Genomic DNA, 27720 nt, shown 5'->3' on the forward strand with positions numbered 1-27720 from the left:
GTCACATAAAATCAAGCTTTAAATGGGAGAACAAGCTAACATTTATTTGTAATCTTGTCGATCACCTTGCAAAGTGCTTTACATATACTGTTTTAATCTTTTATATCATGATAAGTAGATAATGTCTTCATTTCACAGGTAAGAAAATAGACTCAGAGTTTAAGCATTTTGCCTAAGGACATGCAGGAGAAATAATAGTAGTCAGAAACCAAGGTTCTGTTAACATGATACTAATACAAACATTAACATTATTTTCCTTTACCTCTTTTTTGTTTTGTTTTTAACCTGTTTTCTAGACCGCAAGGAAAACTGAGGGTAAAAAGTTTAGGAGATGTGAGTAACAAAAGTCTGGTACTGCAGTTTTGAGCTCTGAGTAAAGGTTCATTCCCCCTATTTAACAGAGAAAAACTTATTAATTGTATGCTATACTTGTAGTCTTGACCCAGTTGTCATGAAAGTCTATGCCACTGATAATGAGAAGATCCAAGTAAAAGTAGGAATATATTTAGCACCACTTTGGTGTGCTTTTAAAATAATAAAAACCGTAGCAGGCAATGATATCAACTTTTTATATGAAGGATAGTGCGTTTGAACTGGAGCAGTACACAAGCTTTCATGTATTCAGAGAGTAACGAGCCTTGGGGAATCGTGAGTAAGTTAATTTCTTTGATAGAGCTAGCTTGATTTGGTAGGGAGTTCAAAGAGGCTTGTTTTCCAATGGGATCATAGGGTATGTTCAAATTCCTGTAAACTAATGGTTCATAACTGTAAGAATCTGGCTGAATCCAGCCCTATAACAACCAAGTTAGAAATAATGGGGATTTTTAATTACTTTGTTTGTGTAATTTGACTTTGTCACTGATTCCATTAGCTTTTGGATTGCAAGGTTTGAACATTTTGTCTGGGAAAAAACAGAACTAAAGCCATTAGGGTAAAATTCCTTTTAGTTTTTATATAACAGATTGCAATTCACCCTACCTTTTTACTGAAACAAGTGAGACTGATTCCTGATTAGATGGTGTTTAAAAAGTTGAAGGAAACTTTGTATTTATTTCTTTAGCAGCTAGAATTTGTTGTGCTATCAGTGAAAATCTATTGGAATTAGCTGAACTGGTTCCTTAATAAATTTTGTTTCTATGTCTATCCAGCAAATTTAGGTTATAATTGTAAAAGAAAAGTTCCAGTACTAGGGGGCTATATCTTAGGAACATTTTGCATGATTTTCAGAAGCATTTCATTATTCTGCTGTGATTTAATTAAGATTAAAGGTGGTAGCATTCCCAGTGTTTTAGGTACTAAATAATAATTATTAAATCATTATTTCAGAATTCCTCAAAAAAGCTGACCTTACTTACCTACCCTGAATATTGATCTGTAATTCACAAGGCGGTAGACTACAGAATAAAAACAAAGGATATAGAAAGATTGTTTTCCATATTTAAATACAGCAGTACTGAGTTTTCTGATATACTGTAAATAACCTAAATGCTAAAGGATTCATATAGATACTTTGTAATTGCTACTTTCTCTAATGGATTGTATGTATATATGATTTGAGGTATACCCTGAAAGAAGCATAAGACTCAGTTGACTGAAAAAAGGGGGCAGAATAGGAAAAGTATTCTTGTTGGTAGAAGTGTTCACTAAAGTATTCAGTGAACAAGTAACCAGTTTGACTGAACTTACTTTGGGGAGATTGGGTAAAGATGTGGGTGGAAGTTAAATTATGATTTTCACACCACTTTTAAAAGCACAATAACATGGACCAGAAATAACATTAAACTAGATGCTGGAAAATCTGGATTCTAGTTTTTGTTTTACCATTGATTCGGCCCGTACTTAACTGGAGTATAAATTATATTTATCTTCTAGGTGGTGAAGGTGGTGCAGTGTATCTAGCAGATTGCCTGATAGCTGTTAGACTAGATGAGACACTCCATAGTCAACTAGTTGAATTAATGGATTAATTCTCTTTTTTTTTTTTTTTTTTTTTTTTGAGATATAGTCTCACTCTGTCGTTAGGCTGGAGTGCAGTGGCATGATCTTGGCTCACTGCAACCTCCGCCTCCCAGGTTTAAGTGATAACTCCTGACTCAGCCTCCCGAGTAGCTGGGACTACAGGCATGTGCCAACATGCCCAGCTAATGTTTGTGTTTTTAGTAGAGACGGGGTTTCACCATGTTGGCTAGGATGGTCTTTCTTGACCTCCTCGTGATCTGCCCGCTTCGGCCCTCCAAAGTGTTGGGATTACAGGCGTGAGCCACCGCGCCTGGCTGGCTAATGGATTAATTCTAACTTTGACATAGAATTAACATTTCTGTTATTTGAACAAGGAAGGACTCTTAATCTGGTTTATTCTAGATCTGTGATCCTGTGGTCATTTAGTAGGTGTGGAGAACTATTAACCGTTTTTGAGCAGTGTGATTATGAGTTAAATGATACCAGATGATTGGAAATGGTTAAATGTCAGATGCTTAAATGGAGTCAGATGGTAGGAGCTAGCCACAATGTAAAACACAAATTGGAGATGAAGAGAATGGAAATATGAGGCCCATCTTAAACTGGTCTAGGCTTAAAGAGATGAGGTATTAGAAATCAGAACTTTGATGGTTACTTTTGTAATACAAAAACAATGACTTGTGAGGCAGCAAAGAAGCCAGTAAAAACTTTTTTTTTTTTTTTTTTTTGCTTGGTCAGAGATCTTTGGCTGTTGGAGAAGAGTAAGAATACTAGTCACAAAACCATTTCCCAGTTGTTTTTAACTTTATCTTTGTGTTAAGAGCCCATAGAGAATAATAGTAGTACTTAAATATTGTGGGGGAAGAAGCATCCAATGATGACTAAGGTTTCTTCTCTGGACTATGGAAATAATGACACGATTGAAAGAAATAGGGGAAATCCAGAGAAAGGCACTGACTTTGAGAGAAAGAGGAATAAGTTTAGATATGTAAACTGTTATCTGTGAATGGTACTTTTGTTGTAATATATTGAAAACTCTTATTTTGATTTATAGAAAAGGTTGCTCTTTATAGAATCTAGATATTTGTGCCTACATCGTACCTTTGTCTCCTCAAGCCCCCCAAAGCCCCCTCAGTTTGGTTTATTTGTTGCCTAATAGAGTTTTAAAACTACCCACATCTTTATATCTGATGGACCTTTGAGGCAGGACACGTGGCACTTGTTTTCTAGCTCTTTCATTTAGCCAAGCATGGTCCTACACAGGCTTGCTCATACAGTTAAGTTAGAGGTAGGCTGCACTTTTGCAGCACACATTGCTGCATTTCTGAGCAATACCTGACATCCTAGACTACTTAGTAGTAACAAATTGTGTTGAGCCAGAGATTAGTGGTAGTTGCTTTGAGATAGCTTGTTAGAATTAGTAGCATTTCTAACCTTTAGATGTATTACTTCCAAACAGCTTCCAAGCCATTATCTTATGTACTGTTGGTAATTGAAGCCTTAGCATTCACTGTCTTGATCAGGATTCAAGCTTACAAAATTACAAGGGAGAGAGGACTTTAATCTGTTACCCATTACAACAAAGCAATGAGCAATGCTGTTTCTACAATCTTTGTTAATGCCCTGAAGAAAAACTTTCCCTTAATCACTAAAATTAAAGTAGTTTTTATTTGGGTCTATGAGATCTTCCTGGCAAATGGAATGTCTTAATTTTGAGACTTTTATAGGAGGGAGAAGAAGAGGCAAAAAATTTGTACCACTTGTGTACATAAATACTGTTGATTTTTTTTTATTATACCTTAAGTTTTAGGGTACATGTGCACAACATGCAGGTTAGTTACATATGTATACATGTGCCATGTTGGTGTGCTGCACCCATTAACTCATCATTTAACATTAGGTATATCTCCTAATGCTATCCCTCCCCCCTACCCCCACCCCACAACAGGCCCCGGTGTGTGATGTTCCTCTTCCTGTGTCCATGTGTTCTCATTGTTCAATTCCCACCTATGAGTGAGAACATGTGGTGTTTGGTTTTTTGTCCTTGCGATAGTTTGCTGAGAATGATGGTTTCCAGCTTCATCCATGTCCCTACAAAGGACATGAACTCATCCTTTTTTATGGCTGCATAGTATTCCATGGTGTATATGTGCCACATTTTCTTAATCCAGTCTATCATTGTTGGACATTTGGATTAGTTCCAAGTCTTTGCTATTGTGAATACTGCCACAATAAACATACATGTGCATGTGTCTTTATAGCAGCATGATTTATAATCCTTTGGGTATATACCCAGTAATGGGATGGCTGGGTCAAATGGTATTTCTAGTTCTAGATCCCTGAGGAATCGCCACACTGACTTCCACAATGGTTGAACTAGTTTACAGTCCCTCCAACAGTGTAAAAGTGTTCCTATTTCTCCACATCCTGTCCAGCACCTGTTGTTTCCTGACTTTTTAATGATCGCCATTCTAACTGGTGTGAGATGGTATCTCATTGTGGTTTTGATTTGCATTTCTCTGATGGCCAGTGATGATGAGCATTTTTTCATGTGTCTTTTGGCTGCATAAATGTCTTCTTTTGAGAAGTGTCTGTTCATAACCTTTGCCCACTTTTTGATGGGGTTGTTTGATTTTTTTCTTGTAAATTTGTTTGAGTTCATTGTAGATTCTGGATATTAGCCCTTTGTCAGATGAGTAGATTGCAAAAATTTTCTCCCATTCTGTAGGTTGCCTGTTCACTCTGATGGTAGTTTCTTTTGCTGTGCAGAAGCTCTTTAGTTTAATTAGATCCCATTTGTCAATTTTGGCTTTTTTTGCCATTGCTTTTGGTGTTTTAGACATGAAGTCCTTACCCATGCCTATGTCCTGAATGGTACTGCCTAGGTTTTCTTCTAGGGTTTTTATGGTTTTAGGTCTAACATTTAAGTCTTTAATCCATCTTGAATTAATTTTTGTATGAGGTGTAAGGAAGGGATCCAGTTTCAGCTTTCTACATATGGCTAGCCAGTTTTCCCAGCACCATTTATTAGATAGGGAATCCTTTCCCTATTTCTTGTTTTTGTCAGGTTTGTCAAAGATCAGATGGTTGTAGATATGTGGTGTTACTTCTGAGGGCTCTGTTCTGTTCCATTGGTCTATATCTCTGTTTTGGTACCAGTACCATGCTGTTTTGGTTACTAGCCTTGTAGTAATACTGTTGATTTTTAAAAAATGTTCTGTGAAAGAGTAGTAAAGTAGTCTACCTTAATATCACTGCCTTTTAAATTAGGTGAACAGAGGAACTATTATCTCCACTTTAAAAACGAATTTAAGGGATATGGTCCAGGTCATGCAAACATAGTATGTGATGGATTGAACTGAGAACCCAGCCCCAGTATTGTGATTCCCTGTCCAGTGTTCGTTTGGCTACATATTCTGAGTTTACACTTTGTTCATTGAACTCAATCCCTTTTTTCTTTTAAAGTACACTTTCAAAATGATTGGAGGAAGGGAGTGTTTTTGGTAAATGGGTTTCTAGTGTACATAGAGTTAAGCATCCAAGAAAGGTTTTGATAGGTCCAGGAGATAGAAACTGTGCGCAAAGTAGGTGGAGCATTGAGCAAGTAAAAATCCCATTTTGCTTGTCTAGGATCTATTACTGTTGGCAGAGAAGCAGAAGGAATATTAACAGAATAGTTTTCCTGCTGTTGGGCATGCAGTTTTGTCCATCTAGAATAAATCTGTTGTTGGCTGAGTAGAGCAAATTCCTGTCTGAGAGTTGGGGAAGCATGGCTAGTGTTAAACAAGAAACTGTGTTTCAGTCTGACTTTGATGTCTGCCTTCCTTATGCTGTGGGCTGATGTACATCAGAGACATTTTTTCCTTCATTTTCCTCCAATAAGAAATCTGTTTTGCCTTTTCTGATGGATATTAAAAAGAAAGATTTTTGCTCAGTATTTGTCATCATAAATTCTCATTGCTGCTGCTGCCCTCAAAAGGATTGTATAAATGAGGTAGGTAAGAATTTCCAGTATATGTAACAGTTTATATTGTAGCCTTTTTGGTGATATTGGTAGAAAGTTTCCAATATTGAAATTGTTAACTTTCAGTTAAAGTATTGAAATTGTTAACTTGAGAATGCTTTAAAAATATTTAGAGTTCTGTAATTTAGTGAATTTATGGTGTATTCTGTGTGAGGAGGGGGTAGGCTTTTGTAAATTCTGAATGGTTAGGGAAAAGTTTACCTTTATTAAGAGTTAATGTTAATGTTACCCTACGACATTTGAAGCATCAGCTTTTAAGAAGCAAGTGCTGGCAATTCTTAGGATCTGAAAGATTGCGTCAGAGAATTCTGTGTTGTGACTCACTTTTATTTTTCTAGCAGATTAGTTGGCAAAACACAGTATATAGAATTCAAATGAGAAGTCAGCCTATAAAATGTGCATATGTTTTTGTGGGGTTTTTTTAGTTCAAATAATACAACATAAAATTTGATAAACATTTGTCTTATATCGGACTCTCAATGTGCTATTATAGAGTTACAGTTGTTCATTTTTTTGTACCCCATTTAAAATTGTGCAGAAGTGGCCTTTGTGTTTTGTAATGAGTGTACAATAGATATTCAAGAAATACTTATATTTAATGAAGAAAAATAAGCTACTGTCCCATGTCAAAAAACATATGACACTACTGCCTAAAGATAACTCTTGTGAATTAGAAAAGTAAGAGAAAAATATCTGTAGAGCCAGTGAGTTGTTGGCTCTGGAGGAGTGGAATGAGAGGGCTGTATGTCCTTAACAAACTCTAGTTTTGTTCTGTGTAAGATAGTAACCCAATTTATCTAGCTTAGTTCTTTTTTCTTCTTTTATCATGAAAACATCTTGTTATCATTACTTTGTTCTGTCTGGTGCTTAAAATCGTGTTTAAGAATAATCTAGTTCACCTTTCAAAAATTATCAGTTATAAAAATTACATTGAGTTCTCATGTCTTAAGAACGAGAAACCTATGAGTACATTTTAAAAACTGTAACTTTGTATTTATTTTAAACAGCTTTCTATTACATGTCCCAGATGACTTTTCTGTGGGTCACTTTTAGGATCAGTGAGGTTTCATAATCATTCCATGTACACATTTACTTTTAATATACAATACCTGTATATGCTTGCTTCTTAAATGATTCAGAATACCTCAGCTAGGTATTTTAATAATCCTGGCTTATTGATGGTTGCTGACTGGTAAAATTCCTTGTTATATTTTTCAGTATTTAAGTGGGTAGCATTAAGCAGTCTTAATCTTTTAATACCAGCTACTGGACTGGTAAGGTGTGTCTCAGTTTTATTGGCTAACTTGGCACCTATGGTACATTTTTTAAGGCAGTAGTAGTATCTAAATATGTGGTATAGCATTGGTATGGAATTTTCTATACAAAACTCTTGGCTGTAGGTTGAAAAAGCAGCATAACCTACCAAATTTAAGGTTGTATTATGCACAGTTATTGGTTTTGCTATATCTTAATATCTTTTGCGCAGTGAGTATTCCTATTTGTAAAGTCATGAATTCATATATGTTTGCAGGGATAGGATTAACAAGAGGATTATTATTAAGGATAATCAAGGATGAAAGCAGGTTCAAGAAAAGATTTTCCTTCCTTTATTATCTTTGGTGATTGCCTTTATACTCAGAGGTAGCCTTGGGTCAGCAAACTTAATACTTCAAGGAGCTTTGAACCCAGATACGACATTTGAATTCAGTTGGACAGGTGTTATCATTATTGGCTAGACAGGAAACCTGAAGCTCAGAACTACTTCTACTTGTCCAGTTCACACTGAATGTCTTTTATTGTTAAATGTTTTTGTCCTTTCAATGTGCCTATGCTAGATTAAAACAGAAGAATCAGTATACATTTGCTTTGTTAAATTAATACATAGTTTTATTGCCAGTAGGCTACATACATTCCCTTGAAATGTATGTGCTTATGGAAGAAGGAACTTTTTTTTTTGAGACAGGGTCTCACTGTGTCACCCAGGCGAGAGTGCAGTGGCACAATCATGGCTCACTGCAGCCTTTACCTCCCGGGCTGAAATGATCCTCTGGCCCAGCCTCCTGAGTAGGTGGACCTACAGGCGTATGTGCCGCCACACCCCACTAGTTTTTTGTCTCTTTGGAGAGACAGGGTCTTGCTTTGTGCCCATGCTGGTCTCAAACAGCTGGGCTCAAACGATCCTCCTGCCTCAGCCTCCCAAAGTGCTGGGACTACAGCTTTGAGCCACCACACCTGGCCCTAGACTTTTAAAATGCTATCAAAATAATCAGAAGGGCCAATTGTGTTAGCTCATGCCAGTAATCCCAGCACTTTGGGAGGCCAAGGTAGGAGGATCGGTTGAACCCAGCAGTTCAAGATTAGCCTGGGGAACATAGCAAGACTTTGTTTCTCCAAAAAGACAAAAAATTAGCTGGGCATGGTGGCACACACCTGTAGTCCCAGCTACTTGGGAGGCTGAGGCAGGAGGAGTTTGAGGCTGCAGTAAGCCACAATCCCACCACTGCACTCCAGCCTGGGCAACAGAGCAAGAACTTATCATTATCTTTTTTTTTTTGTTTTTTTTGAGACAGAGGTTTGCTCAGTCACCCAGGCTGGAGTGCAGTGGCACTATCTGGGCTCACTGCAACCTCTGCCTCCTGGGTTCAAGCGATTCTCCTGCCTCAGCCTCCCAAGTAGCTGGGATTACAGGCACCCGCCATCATGCCCAGCTAATTTTTGTAGAGACGGGGTTTCACCATGTTGGCCAGGCTGTCTTGCACTCCTGACCTCAGGTGATCCACCTGCCTCGGCCTCCCAAAGTGCTGGGATTATAGGTGTGAGCCACCATGCCTGGCCAAGAACTTATCTTTACAAAAAGAAAGTTTATGCAGTTTTTATATGTTTATTGTAGAAAACTAAAACCAAATGTAAACCAGAATACAGTTGTTCCTCCCTGTCTGGGGAGTTGGTTCCAGGACCCCACACTCCTGTGGATACCAAAATTTGAAGATGCTCAAGTTCCAGAAATATAAAATGACCCATAGTATTTACATGTAAAAATTATTTACAATAGCTAATACACCGTGAGTGCTATGTAAGCAGTTGTTATACTGTATTGTTTAGATAATAATGACAGGGAAAAGCCTGTATGTGTTCAGTACTGTGATACAGTTTTCTCTTTTGAATTTTCAATATACAGTTCGTTGAATCCACAGACGTGGAAACCATGAATAAGGAGGGCCAACTGTGCTCAGTTTTTTACTATCAGAGAATTTTTAGTGTGTGGCATTCATTTTTTTCTTGCATTTCCTATTTTCATAAGTCTTAAGTTTGAAATACCAGCTTGCTCAATTAAAGCAGGCTTTTGCTTCAGCAGCATTATTTTGTCTTCACTAGAATTATATGAAGATAAAAACAAGCTGGGAAAAACTTAGGTGGAGTTGGAAAAATAAGATTGAGGAAAATACAGATAGTGATCTTTGTAGTCATTCTCATAAATGAAGCTTTTAAATACATGAATTTAACTTTAGGGTCAGCCCTGCTACACAGTTCCTTGCTGTGAAAAGTTAGCCCTGCGAGTAGAATTCTCCAAATTGGGTCTTCGGAATAATACAATGAGTAATTGAGCATTATCCAGCTTTGGATATAACTCTTGTACTTAAAAGACTTTAGAGCTTATCATTTTATGTATTTCATTTATTTCATTTAGATCTATGAGAGATTACATGCATTTCTGTGATTTATTAGTCACTAATTTTGTTTTACCATATCTGTCATTGACACTATAGATAATCAGAATTTATGTATATTTAATAACTTAACTTTTCTGACCACCCCACCCCAACTCCATTCCCTTTGTTTTATGTGTCTGTTGACTTACAGTGCCACTTGAACAGCATATCAGTGCTTCAACTCTTGATCCGTGTGGTGACTTAGATGAGGTCAGAATAGATGAGATCTTTTTCTCTTTCACCCCACCTCTTAGACAGTAGCATTTTGTTCTTACATCTTATGTATATTTTCCACACATTGCTGTTTTGTTTTTGTTTTTGTTTTTGTTTTTTTTAAAGATGGAGTCTTGCTCTGTCACCAGGCTGGAGTGCAGTGGCTTGATCTCAGCTCACTGCAACCTCTGCCTCCCGGGTTCAAGAGATTCTCCTGCCTCAGCCTCCCGAGTAGCTGGGACTACAGGCATGCGCCACCACGCCCATCTAATTTTTGTATTTTTAGTAGAGACGGGGTTTCACCATGTTGGCCAGGATGGTCTCGATCTCTTGACCTCGTGATCTGCCCACCTCAGCCTCCCCAAAGTGCTGGGATTACAGGTGTGAGCCACGGCGCCCAACCTGAAAATTTATTTTTAAAGAATTTATTGGCTGGGTATGGTGGCTCACGCCTGTAATCCCGGCACTTTGGGAGGCCGAGGAGGGCGGATCACCTGAGGTCAGGTGTTCGAGACCAGCCTGGCCAACATGGAGAAACCCCCATCCCATCTGTACTAAAAATACAAAAATTAGCTGGGCATGGTGGCGTATACCTGTATTCCCGGCTACTCAGGAGGCTGAGGCAGGAGAATCACGTGAACCCAGGAGGCAGAGGTTGTAGTGAGCCAAGGTCACACCACTGCACTCCATACTGGGCAACAGAGCAAGACTCCATCTCGAGGGAAAAAAAAAAATAAGAAAGAATTTATTTATACTTTATAAAGATTTTAAACTATTACTGTGATGACTACTATGTAGTATCACATGTGATAGTGGTAATGAGTTTTCTTCTGAGATTAATTGCAGAGCTTGTCTTTCGTATGGGTCCAATATATTACTTTTCATTGTGTTTTATTTGTGCAGGACAATTTGCTCTTCAGTTATCATACCAAAACAATATAAATCCTCAACTCCTTTGAGTTTGTTAAAGATTACTATAATAATATAATCCCTGCCAAACTAAGCATGTGAATTCATGCCCACACATGGGTTCAGTGTTCAAAATAGTTAAATGCTGTATTGATTTATGTGTTTAGGGAACAAGGTTGAACAAAAGATCTTCTAACCAATTAGAACATTTAGCTTTCTTTTTTAGGCAATAAATTCCTTTACTTGAAACACAGCAGAAGATATTAACATCTGCCTAAATTTTTTCATTGTCACATATGGAAGTAAGTGACCCTGCTGTCACTGTTCCATGTTTTCTTGTGAAGAGCTAAGTTGTCACTACCCAACTGTGACACTGCATGGACCAACTCCTGCAGGCGAGTCAGAAAAAAAGCCGGGATAGTAAGAAAGGAACCTAAAAGAACCTTAATTGGAAATTTAAAAAACAAAGTTCAAAGGCCCTGCTTTTATTAATGTATTTCTGTTTATGGTTTTCAGGGGGTGAAGCCAGCCAGTTTTGACAAAGTAGCAATTCCTGAAGTGAAGGAAATTATTGAAGGATGCATACGACAAAACAAAGATGAAAGGTAAGTTGCCTCTTTTGATCTGGGTGATACTTGAACAAAACCTAAAAAGTAATGTGCTTTGAGTACAACACACATTCTACGGTGTATTTAATATTTGTGATTGGTTTCTCTATTTGTGCCTGTAACATTTTTAAAGGTAGGGTTTTGTTCATTGTGGTTATTCAGATTTGATATACTGGAACACTGTAAAAATATGGTTTGGTAGAGTTTCAGTAAACCAGAACCACCATAAACATAGCTACATTCCATGAGAACTGCTTACTTAAAACATCAGCATGATTTATAAAACTCAAAAAAGAGTTTAATATCTAACACAGGAAATCTTTTCTTAGTCCTTTACCATTGAATTCTAAGTGGTGAAATAAAACTTTGGCTCTTTAAAGTCAGCTCAGCTATTACAGGTCTGATTTGCCGTCCTTACGCCAGAATTGAAGAAGAGCAAAACATCAAAATTCCTTGAGTAAAAAGAGAAGACTTGGCCCAGGGGTTGGAAGGAGATGTGGCTTAGTCATTTGTACTAACAGAGGGCTTCTCTTAGAGGAGTGGCAAGTATCTGATCTGCCATGTAGCTGATTCATCACCCGTCAGGCATGGCGAAGGTCCAGTGTCTGTTTCTGAAAAACAGTCTATCTTTGCCACCCCCTTCCATCCTCCAAAAAAGAAAAAGGAGACCAGCTAGTACAAATACAAATTGCAAATTGAGCATAATCTACCACTTGAAGAATGAGAGCTATCAGATGTATCAACCGAATTAAAGAATTCCATCTTTTCACCTCTCCAGTCTCGTTCTTTTTATAACATCGTTATTTAGAAGAGCTTAACTTCATGGTTTTTAAGCCTTTATTAAGTAAAAATTTAGTTTGAGTTTTCATTTTTATATATGCTGGGTACTTAAATCTCTTTAAGAACTTTTTACTATAAACAAAGGAATGTTTGTTTCAACTCTTTTTTTTTTTTTTGGACACAGTCTTGTCACGTCGCCTAGGCTGGAGTACAGTGGCATAGTCTCAGCTTACTGCAACCTCTGCCTTCCAGGTTCAAGCAATTCTCCTGTCTCAGCCTCCTGAGTAGCTGGGACTACAGACGCACATCACCGCACCTGGCTAATTTTTGTATTTTTAGTAGAGACAGGGTTTCACCATATTGGTCAGGCGGGTTGCAGACTCCTGACCTGAGGTGAACCACCCACCTTGGCCTCCCAAAGTACTGGGATTACAGGTGTGAGCCACTGGGCCCAGCCTGTTTCAACTCTTGTTGGAGCAGTTTATTAGATGATTGGCATATTGAAACCATTTTATCTTAAGATTGTTTCACAATCAGACTTCTGCTTGCCCAGTACACAAATTATTGAACAAGGAATTAAGAGAACTTACTGGTGTAAATAAAGCTTGCTGTGGTAGAAAGTACCAAACTAGAAACAAAAATATTTATTTTCTAGTTTCTATTTCAGCATTTACAGCTTTTATAACTGTGAGCAAGATTCTCAACCTTTCTGGGCCTCCATTTCCTAATAATCAGGAGATGATATCAAATTGGGTGTTGGTCAGACAAGATCATAAATATGAAGATTTGTGTTACTTATAAAATGCTATATAAATGATCATGTGGTATTTTGAAGCTTTAATAGAGCCAATTGTGTTAGCCCACCATTACTAGTATACTATTACTAATAAGATCATTGGATTTAAAAATTATGTTACAATTGTGTTAGCTCGCCATTACTAGTATACTATTACTAATGAGATCATTGGATTTAAAAATTATCACTGTCAGCTCTTATTCATGAATGAGATTGTTATGATGTTTTATAACTTCAGAGTAAACCTCTGTAGGCACCCTTCAAATTCAGCAATGTAAAAATGAGTTATACTTTCCCCTGTATTTTTTCCCATTTTTTTCTTCTGCGAATAACAATAATTGGCCACATTTGAAAATTATTTTTTCAAACTAATGGTGTTTTATTTTTGTTCCTTTTCTTTTCCCTCTGTTTGGAAGATATTCCATCAAAGACCTTTTGAACCATGCCTTCTTCCAAGAGGAAACAGGAGTACGGGTAGAATTAGCAGAAGAAGATGATGGAGAAAAAATAGCCATAAAATTATGGCTACGTATTGAAGATATTAAGAAATTAAAGGGAAAATACAAAGATAATGAAGCTATTGAGTTTTCTTTTGATTTAGAGAGAGATGTCCCAGAAGATGTTGCACAAGAAATGGTAAATTGACATTAGCCATTTTAAAATTGATTTAGACTTATATATATCAATACTATCATTAAGCAAAAAAGCAGTTGATGAAGTGCCGTGTGTGGCATATCCCATTGACATAAAATTGTGATGGCCCTAAAAGTTATCTTTGATTAGTGGGATTTTCGTGTGTGTGTGTTTTTTTTTTTTTTAAACTTCTTTGTATTGCTTTTATAATGGGTGTTAGATTTTATAGTCCTTTTTAAAAGTAAATTTTTTTTTTTTTTGATGGAGAGAGAGACAGGGTCTTGCTCTGTCACCAGGCTGGAGTGCAGTGGCCTGATAATCATAGCTTACTGCAGCCTTAAACTCCTGAACTCAAGCAATCCTTCTGCCTTAGCCTGCCGAGAAGCTGGGACCATAGGGACGTGCCACCACACCTGACTAATTTTTGTATTTTTAGTATAGACAGGGTTTCACCATGTTGGCCAGGCTTGTCTCGAACTCCTTATGTCAAGTGATCATCCCACCTCAGCCTCCCAAAGTGCTGGGAGTACAGGTGTGAGCCACTTCGCCCGGCCAAAAGTTATTTTTGAGAAAATATGTAGATATATATATACATAGGGATAGATAGATGAGATAGATAGGTAGAACTAGTAGAATGCATTCCGAAGTCATTTTGAAAAGTCTGTAAGATTGAGTGACTCCCAGTTTGTATAAGCATCATTCATTAAGAATGACAAGTTATGTTTCTACATATTGGTACATTAGCCTTTGATCAGTTATCTGGATGAACTCTATAAACAGACATAGGACCATGAATTGTTTTTACTTTGAAGAGAGTTTTCCTGATCAAATACTAGTAGGAAGCCTTTGATGTATTATTATTTGAAGTATGTCTAAAAGATCACTCTTCCATAAGGAAACCCTTCCCCAAATTTATGCTTGCCATAGTGCCCAAAATAGCTGATTATTATGGAAAGATAACTCAGAATATCTCTACTCGGATTTATCAGAACCATTCAAAAGTGGTAGTTGCCTCTGAGAGGAGATCAGGTATGAGTTACTTATGTTTAATTGTTAGCTGTTTGTATTGTCTGAGCTTTTTTGCTTTTTTGGAGGGGAGGAGCAGTGTTAAATCTTCATATTCGTACCACAGTTGTTTTAGCAGATTAAGTAGTTGCCTTGTAAAAGAAAGTGAAATCAACACAGGTTAATGTTAGTGGTTACGTGTGAGGGGGAAATACAGTGAATAGAACAGAGTACCTTACTTGGTTTAGGAACTGAGGTTTTAGTTGCCCTATTGTTTCGTTGTTTGTTATAAGGAGTGAAGGTATACCTACCCTTCGAGTTTCTGCAAAAATGGTGGTACCCACCCCTCAAGTATCTACAAAGATGGTAGGGAAATGCATAATGCAGATTTTACAGTTCGGTTAAGGCCAGTCCTGAGAGAATTCTTTCTTCCTCCTCTTCTCTACTTTTTTTACAATGCCTTTTTTTTTTTTGGCGGGGGGTGGTGGTGGGGGGTGTTGTTTTCTTTCAATATACTACTGCTTAATTTACCCTTTTATTCTGTAGGTAGAGTCTGGGTATGTCTGTGAAGGTGATCACAAGACCATGGCTAAAGCTATCAAAGACAGAGTATCATTAATTAAGAGGAAACGAGAGCAGCGGCAGTTGGTACGGGAGGAGCAAGAAAAAAAAAAGCAGGAAGAGAGCAGTCTCAAACAGCAGGTAGAACAATCCAGTGCTTCCCAGACAGGAATCAAGCAGCTCCCTTCTGCTAGCACCGGCATACCTACTGCTTCTACCACTTCAGCTTCAGTTTCTACACAAGTAGAACCTGAAGAACCTGAGGCAGATCAACATCAACAACTACAGTACCAGCAACCCAGTATATCTGTGTTATGTACGTATCTTGGGAAGTGGACAGATAGGCTAATGATTCTCCTAATTGGTTTTTTTAGCTTCTTGTTATTTTGCACTGGCTTTTTGGTTTTGAATTATGAATCCTACTATTATACAAAATTTGAAATGGTTGTCGTCTAGCTTCTCTTTATTCTTATATCTGTGACTAGGAGAATAGAAGGATGGGGTGGTAAGGAAATGTGATTAGGATACAAAATAATTTTATAAGCTTCAACATCTTGGAGGTTTCAATTTGTAGATTTCTACTTTTCACAATTTATTTAAATAAAACAGATTTAATAATGAAGAATGAACAAGCTTGGCTACTAAAATTGAACCCATCAGTCTGGTTGAGCTCTTTTAGCAAAGCTGAATGGTATATAGACTAAAAACTAATGAGAACACTGGTTATTAATTTAATTACTTGTTTAATACTGAGAACCTCCTGGCCTCCATAATTAAGACTTTGAAAGCTGTGTCAAATTTAAGGCTTATAGTGTTTCATGCTGTTTCCCTTACTCCTCAGGTGGTAAGATTCTGTGATAGCCATATGGATTCCTCATTTAAATATAGAAATCTACTGAATATGGCTACAATTCATTTTTTATTTAGTTCAAATCTGTGCAAGGAATAACTAGTTACCCCTAATATAATGGGTCTAAATATGAGAAAATGTGAACCTCCATTTTGTGATTTGTCTTTCTCTCTCTCTTTTTTTTGGCGATTCATTTTTCCTTCAGCTGATGGGACGGTTGACAGTGGTCAGGGATCCTCTGTCTTCACAGAATCTCGAGTGAGCAGCCAACAGACAGTTTCATATGGTTCCCAACATGAACAGGCACATTCTACAGGCACAGTCCCAGGGCATATACCTTCTACTGTCCAAGCACAGTCTCAGCCCCATGGGGTATATCCACCCTCAAGTGTGGTAAGTAAATGCTTAAGAGCATGTAATACTACAATGAGAGCCAATGGATAGTCTGCTAAATTAAAATTCTTTGTACAAACCAAGTAACAGTATGAGTCTGAAGTAGAAAATATAAAATGCTGTGTCTCTAAAGCCTTATTATAGAGTAGGATATAGACATTAATGTGTGGGCATTAGCTGAACTGCCTACATGAAGCAGCTATGTGCAAGATTTAGATTAGTCTGCATTTTTACTAAAGGGAACGCTCTCTTTAGCACTTAAGATGTTGAAACTATTCACAGCAACAAAAGCTGGACATACAAATGTTTTGCGGGTGGGGCGAGAAGAGTTTTTCAAAAGCTTGTTAAAATGATTACTAAGTATTTCCTGTAAGATTCCCTATTGTACAAAACACAGGTAAGACCTTCAAACCATTATAGAATGCTGCATGTGAGTACTCTAGATTGAGGGAATCCTTTATTTGAATGACTGTTTAATTTAGCGCTTGTGTTGAGTTAATCATCAGTTGCTGTGTGTGTTCCTGCCTTTTAAAGTCTGTGTTGGACACAAGTTCCTTCCCCAGTATATGTTCTTTTGCTTTTTCCCTTTAGTTGGTAACTGTTTTATTACTGATTTATTTTCAGAATCAACTTATAGAAATTATTTCCTGAAACATTTTATGCTTGTATACACATACACACACACAATTATCCTGTGTTTTACATTAGACACTCTTGTTTCTCATATAGAGAATGTTAAAGTAGATCATCAGATAATACCCCATTTCTTTTGTTGACCTCAGAGGAAAATAAAATACGTCATCTGCCTCTGAAAGGTATTAGAAAATAAGTAACTTGTCACTGTACAGCACTTGTTTAGTGAGATCTTTAAGCAGACAGATTTTCCCCTTCTCAGAAAGCTTTTAATCTAAACTTTGTGGAATTCTTGCTCTTCTTTAAATGAAAATCTTTCTCTGTTAAGAAAATACTTCTGCTTGTTCGATTTTTTATCCTACAGCTTGGAATAAAAGATGTTCATTTGTTTCAGAGTCCGTTTAATCCTGCTTTGGCTAGGTCTCAAAATGAATGGCCACAGTAACACAAATAAAAAACTAATATACTAACTTTTTAAAACAATCTACTTTCTGTCTTTAAAATAATTGAGGGTAGAATAGAAGAACTTTATAAAGACTGCACAGAAAATATATTTCTGTGTTCTGACAAATATTACTTGTCAGCATTTCTTGTCAGTTTCTACCTTTAATTGTTTTTTTTCTGGATTATTATAACTAGATTTTGCTAAGACTTTTTTTTTAAAATTTTCTCTTGTCTATACTCATCATGGGGGAGCATTAGGTCTCTATTTTAGAAAGCAAGTAGAATGACATGAAGATATTATTTGAGCCATTAATCTAGCTATATTTATTGATGCTCTAAAAGCAGACGTTCTTGCTTTTTAATGACAGTATTCTATGGAGGTATTATGAAGAATTATTAAATATTGAGAATTTAAAAATTTGTCTAATTCTATTCTTGTCTCATTTCAGGAATGTGGCTTACAATAATATGGACAAATTATAAGTGAAATTTTAGAAATTAGAATAAAAGAAATAAGGCTAGAGAGAAATCAAAACAGGAATGAAACTAAACAATCATATGATGATATGTAAATACTTGGTATTGGTGGGCCACAGATTTGGCCCAAAGCATTCTACACAGCCAAGTTTTGGAAATGAAAACATAGTTTCATAGTTCACAACATCTAAAAGGAAAATAACAGTCTTATTCAAGACAACCTTTATGGTATTGATCATACTGCCTTATAGCCATATTAAACCCTGTGCCTGAACATTTTTTTAAGTTTTTTTTTTTTTTTTTGACAGCGTCTCACTCTGTCTCCCAGGTGGGAATACAGTGGCGTGATCTTGGCTCACTGCAACTTTCACCTCCTGGGTTCAAGTGATTCTCCTGCCTCAGCCTCCCCAGTAGCTAAGATTACAGGCACCCATCACCACGCCCAGCTAATTTTTGTATTTTTTTTAGTAGAGACACAGTTTCACCGTGTTGGCTAGGCTGGTCTTGAACTCTTGACCTCAAGTGATCCACCTGCCTCGGCCTCCCAAAGTGCCAGGATTACAGGTGTGAGCCACCATGCCCGGCCTAAATTATTATTTAGAGATTCAGATTGAAGATATTCTCCCATTGATTACTTTGTAAAAGTACAAAATATTTCCTATATCCAGTTGTGAATTTCTTCTAGAAAGCTAAACTTTTTCCTAGTAGATCATGACTTTTTTACCTTTACAAATAAAGAGTGGCAAGTATAAGAAATACTGTGAGCCAACAACTTTCCATCTCATGTCTTCTAAAATAGAAATGAGAATCTTTTTCTGAGGTTTCCAGAGCTCTTGCAAAATAATCCAATCTTAAAATTCTCTGTATCTTTTAATGTACTTTAAACTAATAGAATTCATTCTTGTTGAATCTTAAGTTTGCCAAAGTTGCAAGCTAATATTCATTGTTTTCCCTGTCTGCACCCTTCAGTCAGTTGGTCATTCTTAAATTCATACACTTGTAACACTTGGTGTTATTTCAGAATATTTAGCATGATAACTGATCATTATCATGATCATTCATTAAACCTGTCCTTGACTGACAACGCAGAATAGTTGTGAATAGTTGTGATCTGTCAGATGTGCTATGTTGAGTTATAGCTCTCCTCAAAAAAAAAACTGACTTTGTGGAATTGGGAGAGGATGGAACATTTCTTCATGCAACTATGCCCTGTTATCATTGTACTTTTGTTTATTTTGTTTTCACAGTACTGTGTTTTTCATGTGTGTGTTTGTTTTGTGTTGAGCCTCGTCGTGGCCGTAGCATGTCGGTTTGTGTTCCCATCTTTCTGCTGTTGCCTCTGTGTCCCGCATCTCTCCCAGTGCTCTTCCACCCCACCGCCAGTACTGTCTGCACCTCTTTCTCCTTCCCTCCTCCGGACTGCCCCGAGGAAACTTTTGCCGAAAAGCTTTCTAAAGCATTGGAGAGTGTCCTGCCTATGCACTCTGCCTCTCAGCGCAAGCACCGACGCTCCAGCCTGCCTTCCCTCTTTGTCAGTACTGTATGTAACTGTAAACTTCTGACAAATGAACAATTATTACCAATGAATACATCCAGGCAACAAGAATTTTAATTAAAATTGAATAAAGAACAGGACTAAACTTGGTTATATTATGCTTCTAGGATACCAGTTATTCCTGTAGGAAACTTTTTTGTAATAAGGCTTTAAGGGGGAATAAAAAGCAAGGAGGTAATGAGAGAGAATACCTATAATGTCCTTGGCACATACCAGCATGTGTCCAATAAAATTTACCTTTCATTATATCTTCCTGTTTCCTATCGACATAAAATTCTTTCATTTTCATATTCTAGTTTTAAAAGGATTAATTTTAAAGTTATTGCCTTAATCAAAAGCAAATTTTATCAAACATTACCCAAACATTTTTTCTCCTCACTTTATTCTAAGGAGACACTAATAAAACTGGATGAGTCCTTTTTTTTTTTAATAACCTTAGTCAGCAAAGAATAACCTTGGAGTGAACATTTATTTTAATTTAATCATTTATGTAAGATGATGTATCAGCAAACCAAAGAACTACATAATGTTCCCCCATGGAAGTATTTTTTCCTTAGGTTTCAACCTAAGGTGGGACTGTAGCTCTAATGAATGCATTAGATGCATATATAGTATGTATGACTTTCTTTGGCTCCATTAATGTTTATAAAAGATCTATCTTATAAAATTATTTTAAGCATGTGGGTCCTTGCTGCTTTTCCAAATAAAGAATATAGTTAACTTTCTGAACTAGCAACCCCAGAATTTTCAGATTTTTACTTAGGAGAATGAAGAACTATACAGTGTTATTATGGCTTTGAGACATACCATGAGTAAATAACAATAAAATGAGCATTCTGACTGAAAATAGAAATCCTTATTTAGCTATTGTGAACAGTTGATCTACTTTGCCAGCTCGATAAGGATCTTCCCTATGGAAGAATGAAACTGAATTCTTTTAAAAAGCGGGGGAGGCTGTGATAGTGAATTCTTACTATTATTTACTTATTTATTTATGTTTTGGAGATGGAATCTCGCTCTGTCGCCAGGCTGGAGTGCAGTGGCACGATCTCGACTCACGGCAACCTCTGCCTCCTGGGTTCAAGTGATTCTCCTGCCTCAGCCTCCCGAGTAGCTAGGACTACAGGCGCATGCCACCACACCCAGCTAATTTTTGTATTTTAGTAGAGATGGGTTTCACCATGTTTGGCCAGGATGGTCTTGATCTCCTGACATTGTGATCCACCCCCTTCAGCCTCCCACAGTGCTGGGATTACAGGCGTGAGCCACCGCGCCCAGCGGGTAATGAATTATTATAGTGTATATTGTTTGCATTTGGCAAGCTGTGTTTCTAAATTTAGTCTTAAATCTAGAACTGCTTCTAGAATAAAAAGTGCTATCAAATAAAATTGGCTGTCATTTATATTACCCTTTTCAGTTGATTAGAACACCAGGATGTCAGAATCAGAAAATTCATGGTTACGGCCGGGCTCAGTGGCTCACGCCTGTAATCCTAGCACTTTGGGAGGCCGAAGTGAGCAGATCACCTGAGGTCAGGAGTTCGAGACCAGCCTGGCCAACATGGCGAAATGTGTCTCTACTAAAAATACAAAAATTAGCTGGGCGTGGTGGCGCACGCGTGTAGTCCCAGCTACTTGGGAGGCTGAGGCAGAAGAATCCCTTGAACCCAGGAGGCGGAGGTTGCAGTAAGCCAAGATTGTCACTGCACTCCAGCCTGGGCGAAAGAGGAAGACTCCATCTCAAAAAAAAGAAAAAAGAAATTTCATGGTTATGCAACTCTTATTTATGATCAGAAAAATGGACATTTTGTGATTTAACTCTGTAACATGTTTCATGTAGTAAAAATATAATAAAACTATTAATCATCTAGCTTGGGAGAGATAGGAGAAAGACATTACTGTCACTAGTCAAATTATATATCTTTTACTATCCACCAAAAATCTCTTCTGATTTCTGGTTAGAAGGCATACTATTAATTGATAAGAAAATAAAACTGAAGGCCTCTAACATATCACAGGGTAATAAGAATATAGGGAAAGTTAGTTCAATAGTTTAAATTAAAGCACACTTCTTACAGTATAGAACTAGTCGGGCTTTTATGCCTTGTTTTAGTTCTTACTCTTCCTTTAACTCTTTTTCTGTTGATGTAATTTACATTAATGCTTAAGAGTGAACTTTTTAAGTGTGGGTAAAAACGAAATAATTACTTACAAAGTTTAATTCTTCCATTTCCTTTGAGAGAGGAAAGTTATGGAAAAGCAGCTCTTATCTAAAGCAAAGAGCCCACAGATTGATTTCATTGGCCCTGGATGTATTTAATGGATTTTTACTATGCACATAATTTCCAGAAGCATTGTTATTTATTTATTAATTATAAATTTAGTGTAACCATTTCATAGGGTTACACAGAACTACCCAGTTGTGCATGTCTGATGTAATTTCACATATGAATGTATGAATTACTTGTCTTATTCATGTTGATACAGCCTCAGTCCATGGCGCATCCGTGTGGGGGGACCCCAACATACCCAGAATCACAGATATTTTTCCCAACTATTCATGAACGTCCAGTTTCTTTTTCACCACCTCCCACCTGCCCACCGAAAGTAGCCATTTCCCAGCGGCGTAAGAGCACCTCCTTCCTGGAAGCCCAAACTCACCACTTCCAACCCCTGCTGAGGACTGTTGGCCAAAGTCTTCTTCCACCTGGTGGCAGCCCAACTAACTGGACACCAGAGGCCGTAGTTATGTTGGGTACTACAGCCAGTAGAGTAACTGGAGAGTCATGTGAGATACAGGTCCATCCTATGTTTGAACCATCTCAAGTTTACAGTGACTATAGACCTGGACTAGTACTTCCAGAAGAAGCTCACTATTTTATTCCTCAGGAAGCAGTGTATGTAGCTGGGGTACATTACCAGGCCCGGGTGGCAGAACAGTATGAGGGCATTCCATACAACTCATCAGTACTGTCAAGTCCTATGAAACAGATACCTGAACAGAAGCCAGTACAAGGGGGCCCTACTTCAAGTTCTGTCTTTGAATTTCCATCTGGACAGGCTTTCCTGGTAGGACACCTTCAGAATCTAAGATTAGATTCTGGATTGGGTCCGGGATCTCCCCTCTCTAGTATTTCTGCACCTATCAGTACAGATGCTACACGTTTGAAATTTCACCCTGTCTTTGTTCCTCATTCTGCGCCTGCTGTGTTAACTCATAACAATGAGAGCAGAAGCAACTGTGTATTTGAATTTCATGTTCACACACCAAGCTCCTCTTCAGGAGAAGGAGGTGGAATTTTACCTCAGCGTGTTTACCGAAATCGGCAGGTTGCAGTGGACTTGAATCAAGAAGAACTGCCTCCTCAATCAGTTGGATTACATGGCTACTTGCAGCCTGTGACTGAAGAAAAGCATAATTACCATGCCCCAGAATTGACCGTTTCTGTGGTAGAGCCTATCGGACAGAACTGGCCAATAGGAAGCCCAGAATATTCCAGTGATTCCTCACAAATCACTTCTTCAGACCCCAGTGATTTTCAGTCACCTCCCCCTACAGGGGGAGCAGCTGCACCTTTTGGCTCTGACGTCTCAATGCCCTTTATCCATCTGCCTCAGACAGTGTTACAAGAATCCCCACTTTTCTTCTGTTTCCCCCAAGGAACCACATCTCAGCAGGTCTTAACTGCCTCATTTTCTTCAGGAGGATCTGCACTTCATCCACAGGTTATAGGAAAACTTCCACAATTATTTTAAACTACCCTACTTTGCACCATAACATTTAAATTTTCTATTCCTTATTTCCCTGAATCATGGATTTTGGAGAAATATTGTTTAATTTTATCAGTAGAGTTTCCCCATCTTTGGGGGGTTGTGAACTACATATATGCATTTAAAAACAAAATGTGAGAGAAGCTACCTGATTTACCTATTATATGTGAAAACCAGTGGAAAAAACACAAAAACTAGAATTTTAGTCATTCTTCACAATCACGACTTCTATGCACGTTATTTTCAACCAGTAGTGAAAATGCAAGTGTATGTAATGTATGGTTGACCCAGCATTATTTAGGAATACAAATCTTAAGTATTACTTTCTTCCTCCAAACAAGTTTTTAAAAAATAGGATAAATTTTTTTTCTATAAAATATAAAACATGGAAAATAGGGAATGCTGTTTTTGAGGTAATATTAATAATACACAGAATTTTCATTAGTGTCGAAGGATCTAAAAAGACAAAGTATATCATGGGAATAAAAAAAGATAGAAAAGGAAACAGTTTAGGAATTTGCCTTAACAAATGAAAATGCCTTTTTAAAATGGCATCAGTCAAGCAAGTTGCTGTGCATTATTATATGTCCAAATAAAATGCTAATTCATAAAATTAAGGACTGATTCTAATTTTTAGCAACTAACAATCTAGTGAGTGGTGGGCTTTTTTTTTTTGTTATAAGAATTTGTGATATGTTGCAAGCTAAGGAACAGTAGACATCTTAGGCCTTGTATTTTCCTCAACAAATTTAATTTTAGTTATTTATGTGTATGAGCATATACACACTTAGCAAATAAAGACAATGTAATGAATGTAATAGAATTCAAAAGTACAGTCAGTGTTTACTGTTTCATATATTCATTTGGTATATTTTATCAAATGTGTACATCTTATAAAATCTACATAGAAGACTATGCAGTTATATATTGAAGACATTTGGATATCCTACATAAAGTACTATGTGTTGTTCTTCCTACTTTCTTCCTATGTTCTTCCCTCATCAGGAGCATAAACAACTCCCAAAATGTGCACAAATTATCAATTATTTAGTGCTGTACTAAGACACAAAAAGATCCAGAAGCTTGACAGCTATACATGGGCATGCAGTATATTCACATCAGTATTCAAGTTGCAGCCCCTATTATAAATATTAATGTATTGCCAGTAATTATCCTTTAGACTTTCCAAAGTAAAAAATACCAGGTAGTTAATTTATAGACATACTACAGAAGGAATCAATATTTATAATAGTTAAGCTGCAGTGGAATGTGATATTATATCCATGTAAGCTTTAAGGAACCCCTTGTAAACTGAAATGGAATGACAAAAGTGGTAGCCTTTTCATTTCGTTAACATACCTATATATAGTCCTGCATCATTTCTCACTTTCTAGTGAGAAACACTGTAGTTGGGGTTTCTCAGACTCAACACTGTTGACATCTGAGGTTGGATAATTCTTTGTTGTGGTGGGCTGTTCTATGTATTGTAGGCTATTTAGAACATCCTTGGTTTATACCTCCTAAATACTAGTAGCAGCAATCTCCCTCAGTTGTGACAACCAGAAATGTCTCCACATATTGCCAAGTGCCCCCCTGGGGGTGGCAGGATTGCTCCTGGATAGCAATGATCGCCCTAGGTACTTGGCAGTTGATGATAACAGATTTTTTGATACTTTTGATAAAAGTCATTGTGGCACTACAAGAAGTATTACCAAATTAGCATTACCAAATACCTTTCTTTAATTCTTCAGATAAATTTCAGATTGATAGTATTAATACTTTGTTCCTGATTATTGTATTTCTAATAACAAATTTTATTATGAATCTGACGATTCTAGCCAGCTAAAATTACAGCCTGAGCAGCATTGACAGCTTAGGTTTTCACTGTCAGTGGGTTTTGCATGGGTTGGGATCAGAACATGTTGTGTGGTATGATCCTTTTCTAAATTTTTCTTACAAAAGTTGACCCAGAGGCCTCTCCCATACATAATCAGGTTAATGTTTCATTTTGATCAAGCAAACTCTGAGGAGATTAAATATTCATTGCAAAAGCCTGACCTCTATACACTTACTTTAGGCCTTCTCTAATTTGTTGTGTTCACTTCTTTCCTTCAGGCACAGGGGCAGAGCCAGGGTCAGCCATCCTCAAGTAGCTTAACAGGGGTTTCATCTTCCCAACCCATACAACATCCTCAGCAGGTGAGAACAATGCATTGCAACATTTTATGAATTAGCAGTGGCCAGAACACTATTTTAACTTTTGTGATTTGTTATATAAATGGCCTGCTAAGTTTTTGAAAGGAAAATTAAGAGGCATACCATGTCTTGTGTTCAGTAACAAAGAAAAAAAAGAGACTTTTCTGTGTTTCAGAAAAATCTCTTTTGTTTAATATACTTTTGAACAATTTAGTAGACATACATTATTACTGATATAATTATCTTTTTAAAAGAGGATTCTACACCTTTTTTTTGAGACAAAGTCTCACTCTGTCACCCAGGCTGGAGTGCAGTGGTGCAATCTTAGCTCACTGCAACCACCGCCTCCCAGGTTCAAGCAGTCCTCCTGCCTCAGCTTTCCACGTAGCTGGGACTACAGGTGCCTGCCACCACACTCAGCTAATTTTTGTATTTTTAGTAGAGACGGGGTTTCACCATGCTGGCCAGGCTGGTCTCAAACTCCTGACCTCAGGTAATCCACCCTCCTCGGCTTCCCAAAGTGCTGGGATTACAGGCATGCGCCACCTCACCCAGCCTGGATTCTACACATAATTTACGGTACAAAGAGTATGTCATTCCTTTTCTCTTTTTTTCCACTGCTTGCAGCAGTGATTTGTCATTACCTTCATTGTGCTTGCCTCTACTAATCCTGCACTTCTTTTTAATTATTTCTAATCTGTAGAATGATGTGTCAGATTTTACGCTAAGAAGCATCTAATGAAAACCTAAGAACAATTACTTCAAGAACATTTATTTATTTATTTATTTTTATTTATTTTGAGACAGCCTTGCTCTGTTGCCCAGGCTGGAGTGCAGTGGTGCAATCTTGGCTCACTGCAACTTCCATCTCCCAGGTTCAAGCTATTCTCACGCCTCAGCCGCCCGAGTAGCTGGGACTACAGGCGCGTGCCACTATGCCCAGCTAATTTTTGTATTACGTTCTACTTATGCCTGGCTAATTTAGTAGAGATGGCGTTTCACCATGTTGGCCAGGCTGGTCTTGAACTCCTGACCTCAAGTGATCCACCCGCTTTGGCCTCCCAAAGTGCTGGGAGCCACTGTGCCCAGCCAAAATATTTTAACTTTTGTTTTGGGGGGCTTGTTCCAGAAAGTTCAAGGAATTCAAGAGATTAGTGTCATCCTGATACATCCAACAGTAAAACTGGTAATTCTAAAATTAAATATTTATAGTGCATCACTGATATTAGTTAATAGTAATTATTTGCAAGGGAATAATGCATTTTTGGCATAATTGAATACTTATTAGCTATTCTACATAAAATTTGTAGCCACTATGTATGTAATGCAAACTTCCTAATGTTAGTTCCCCATGTGGGTTTTTTAATCAGCAAACTCTAAACTGGCTTCTGTTTCTATTAGTTTTTGGTTTTGAAACAAAGTTTTCGGTTCTTAATTACAAATGGCCCTTTTTCAGTCCAACATATGGTCATGTAGTCATTCGATACTGGTTTAAGATCAGGAGTTGCTTGTACAAGATGAAAATCACTTAAAGGCACTTTCTACAGAAACAGTTGATTAGTTTGTTTATACATGCATTCACTCCGTGAACTGAAGGACTGGGACTTATATGCTTTGTTTTGCACCTGTCCTTTCTTCCAAACAAGACTGGTTAAATTCAAGTAAACATATTTTTGCCAACCTTAACAAAATCTGTTTTATTCTATTAACAGTTCCTAATTAGAATGCAAATTACAAGTCACATAAAGCTGGTTGAGAATGGAAGTACTGAGTACTAATCTCCTAACTTGCTTATCTTTGGATGTAGACGAACACCAATGAACTGAGCAAATTGTATGTGCTCTGTTTTTTCTTTTCCAAAGGAATTGGTTATCTGTCTTGTATTTGGGGATATGTATGTATACTTACTATCAAATGAAGAAGATAATAAAATAATTCATTGAGTTTCATGTTAAGAAAGAGTGTGAGAAAAGAAGAGAGCAGTACCATAAATGTCAGATTAAAAGAATTAGGTAGCTACCTCTCCAGGAGAAAAAAATATGGCTAAATGCTATCTCTACAGCAGAAACAAAAATTAATTTTTGTTTCAGTGATGTTTTTGTTTTAGATACTTTTATAGCATGTGTTGTAGAATCACAAAATTGAGCCCTCGATATATATAGGAAGTGTATTCGGTCTAGAATAATTAACTTCTCCAAAGTCAC

The 27720-nt window shown here is 37.3% G+C and overlaps 1 protein-coding gene across 51 annotated transcripts in view; it reads left to right on the plus strand.

The window, feature by feature from the left end:
* WNK1 (WNK lysine deficient protein kinase 1) overlaps positions 1–27720 on the plus strand; it is a 158874-nt gene that overhangs the window by 93251 nt on the left and 37903 nt on the right. For 20 of the 51 annotated variants that reach the window (NM_018979.4, XM_047429377.1, XM_047429380.1 and 17 more), the window contains exons 5-9: positions 11332–11420; positions 13416–13635; positions 15184–15514; positions 16254–16441; positions 25436–25519. In NM_018979.4, the coding sequence (NP_061852.3) occupies positions 11332–11420; positions 13416–13635; positions 15184–15514; positions 16254–16441; positions 25436–25519 (912 nt within the window). Of the gene's footprint in view, positions 1–5594; positions 5954–11331; positions 11421–13415; positions 13636–15183; positions 15515–16253; positions 16442–19280; positions 19536–22036; positions 23276–25435; positions 25520–27720 lie in introns of those variants that run through there. The other 31 variants (XM_011521006.3, XM_047429381.1, XM_047429379.1 and 28 more) reach the window with 4 other exon arrangements.

Source organism: Homo sapiens, chromosome 12 (assembly GCF_000001405.40).
Source record: "Homo sapiens chromosome 12, GRCh38.p14 Primary Assembly".
Taxonomy (NCBI): domain Eukaryota; kingdom Metazoa; phylum Chordata; class Mammalia; order Primates; family Hominidae; genus Homo; species Homo sapiens.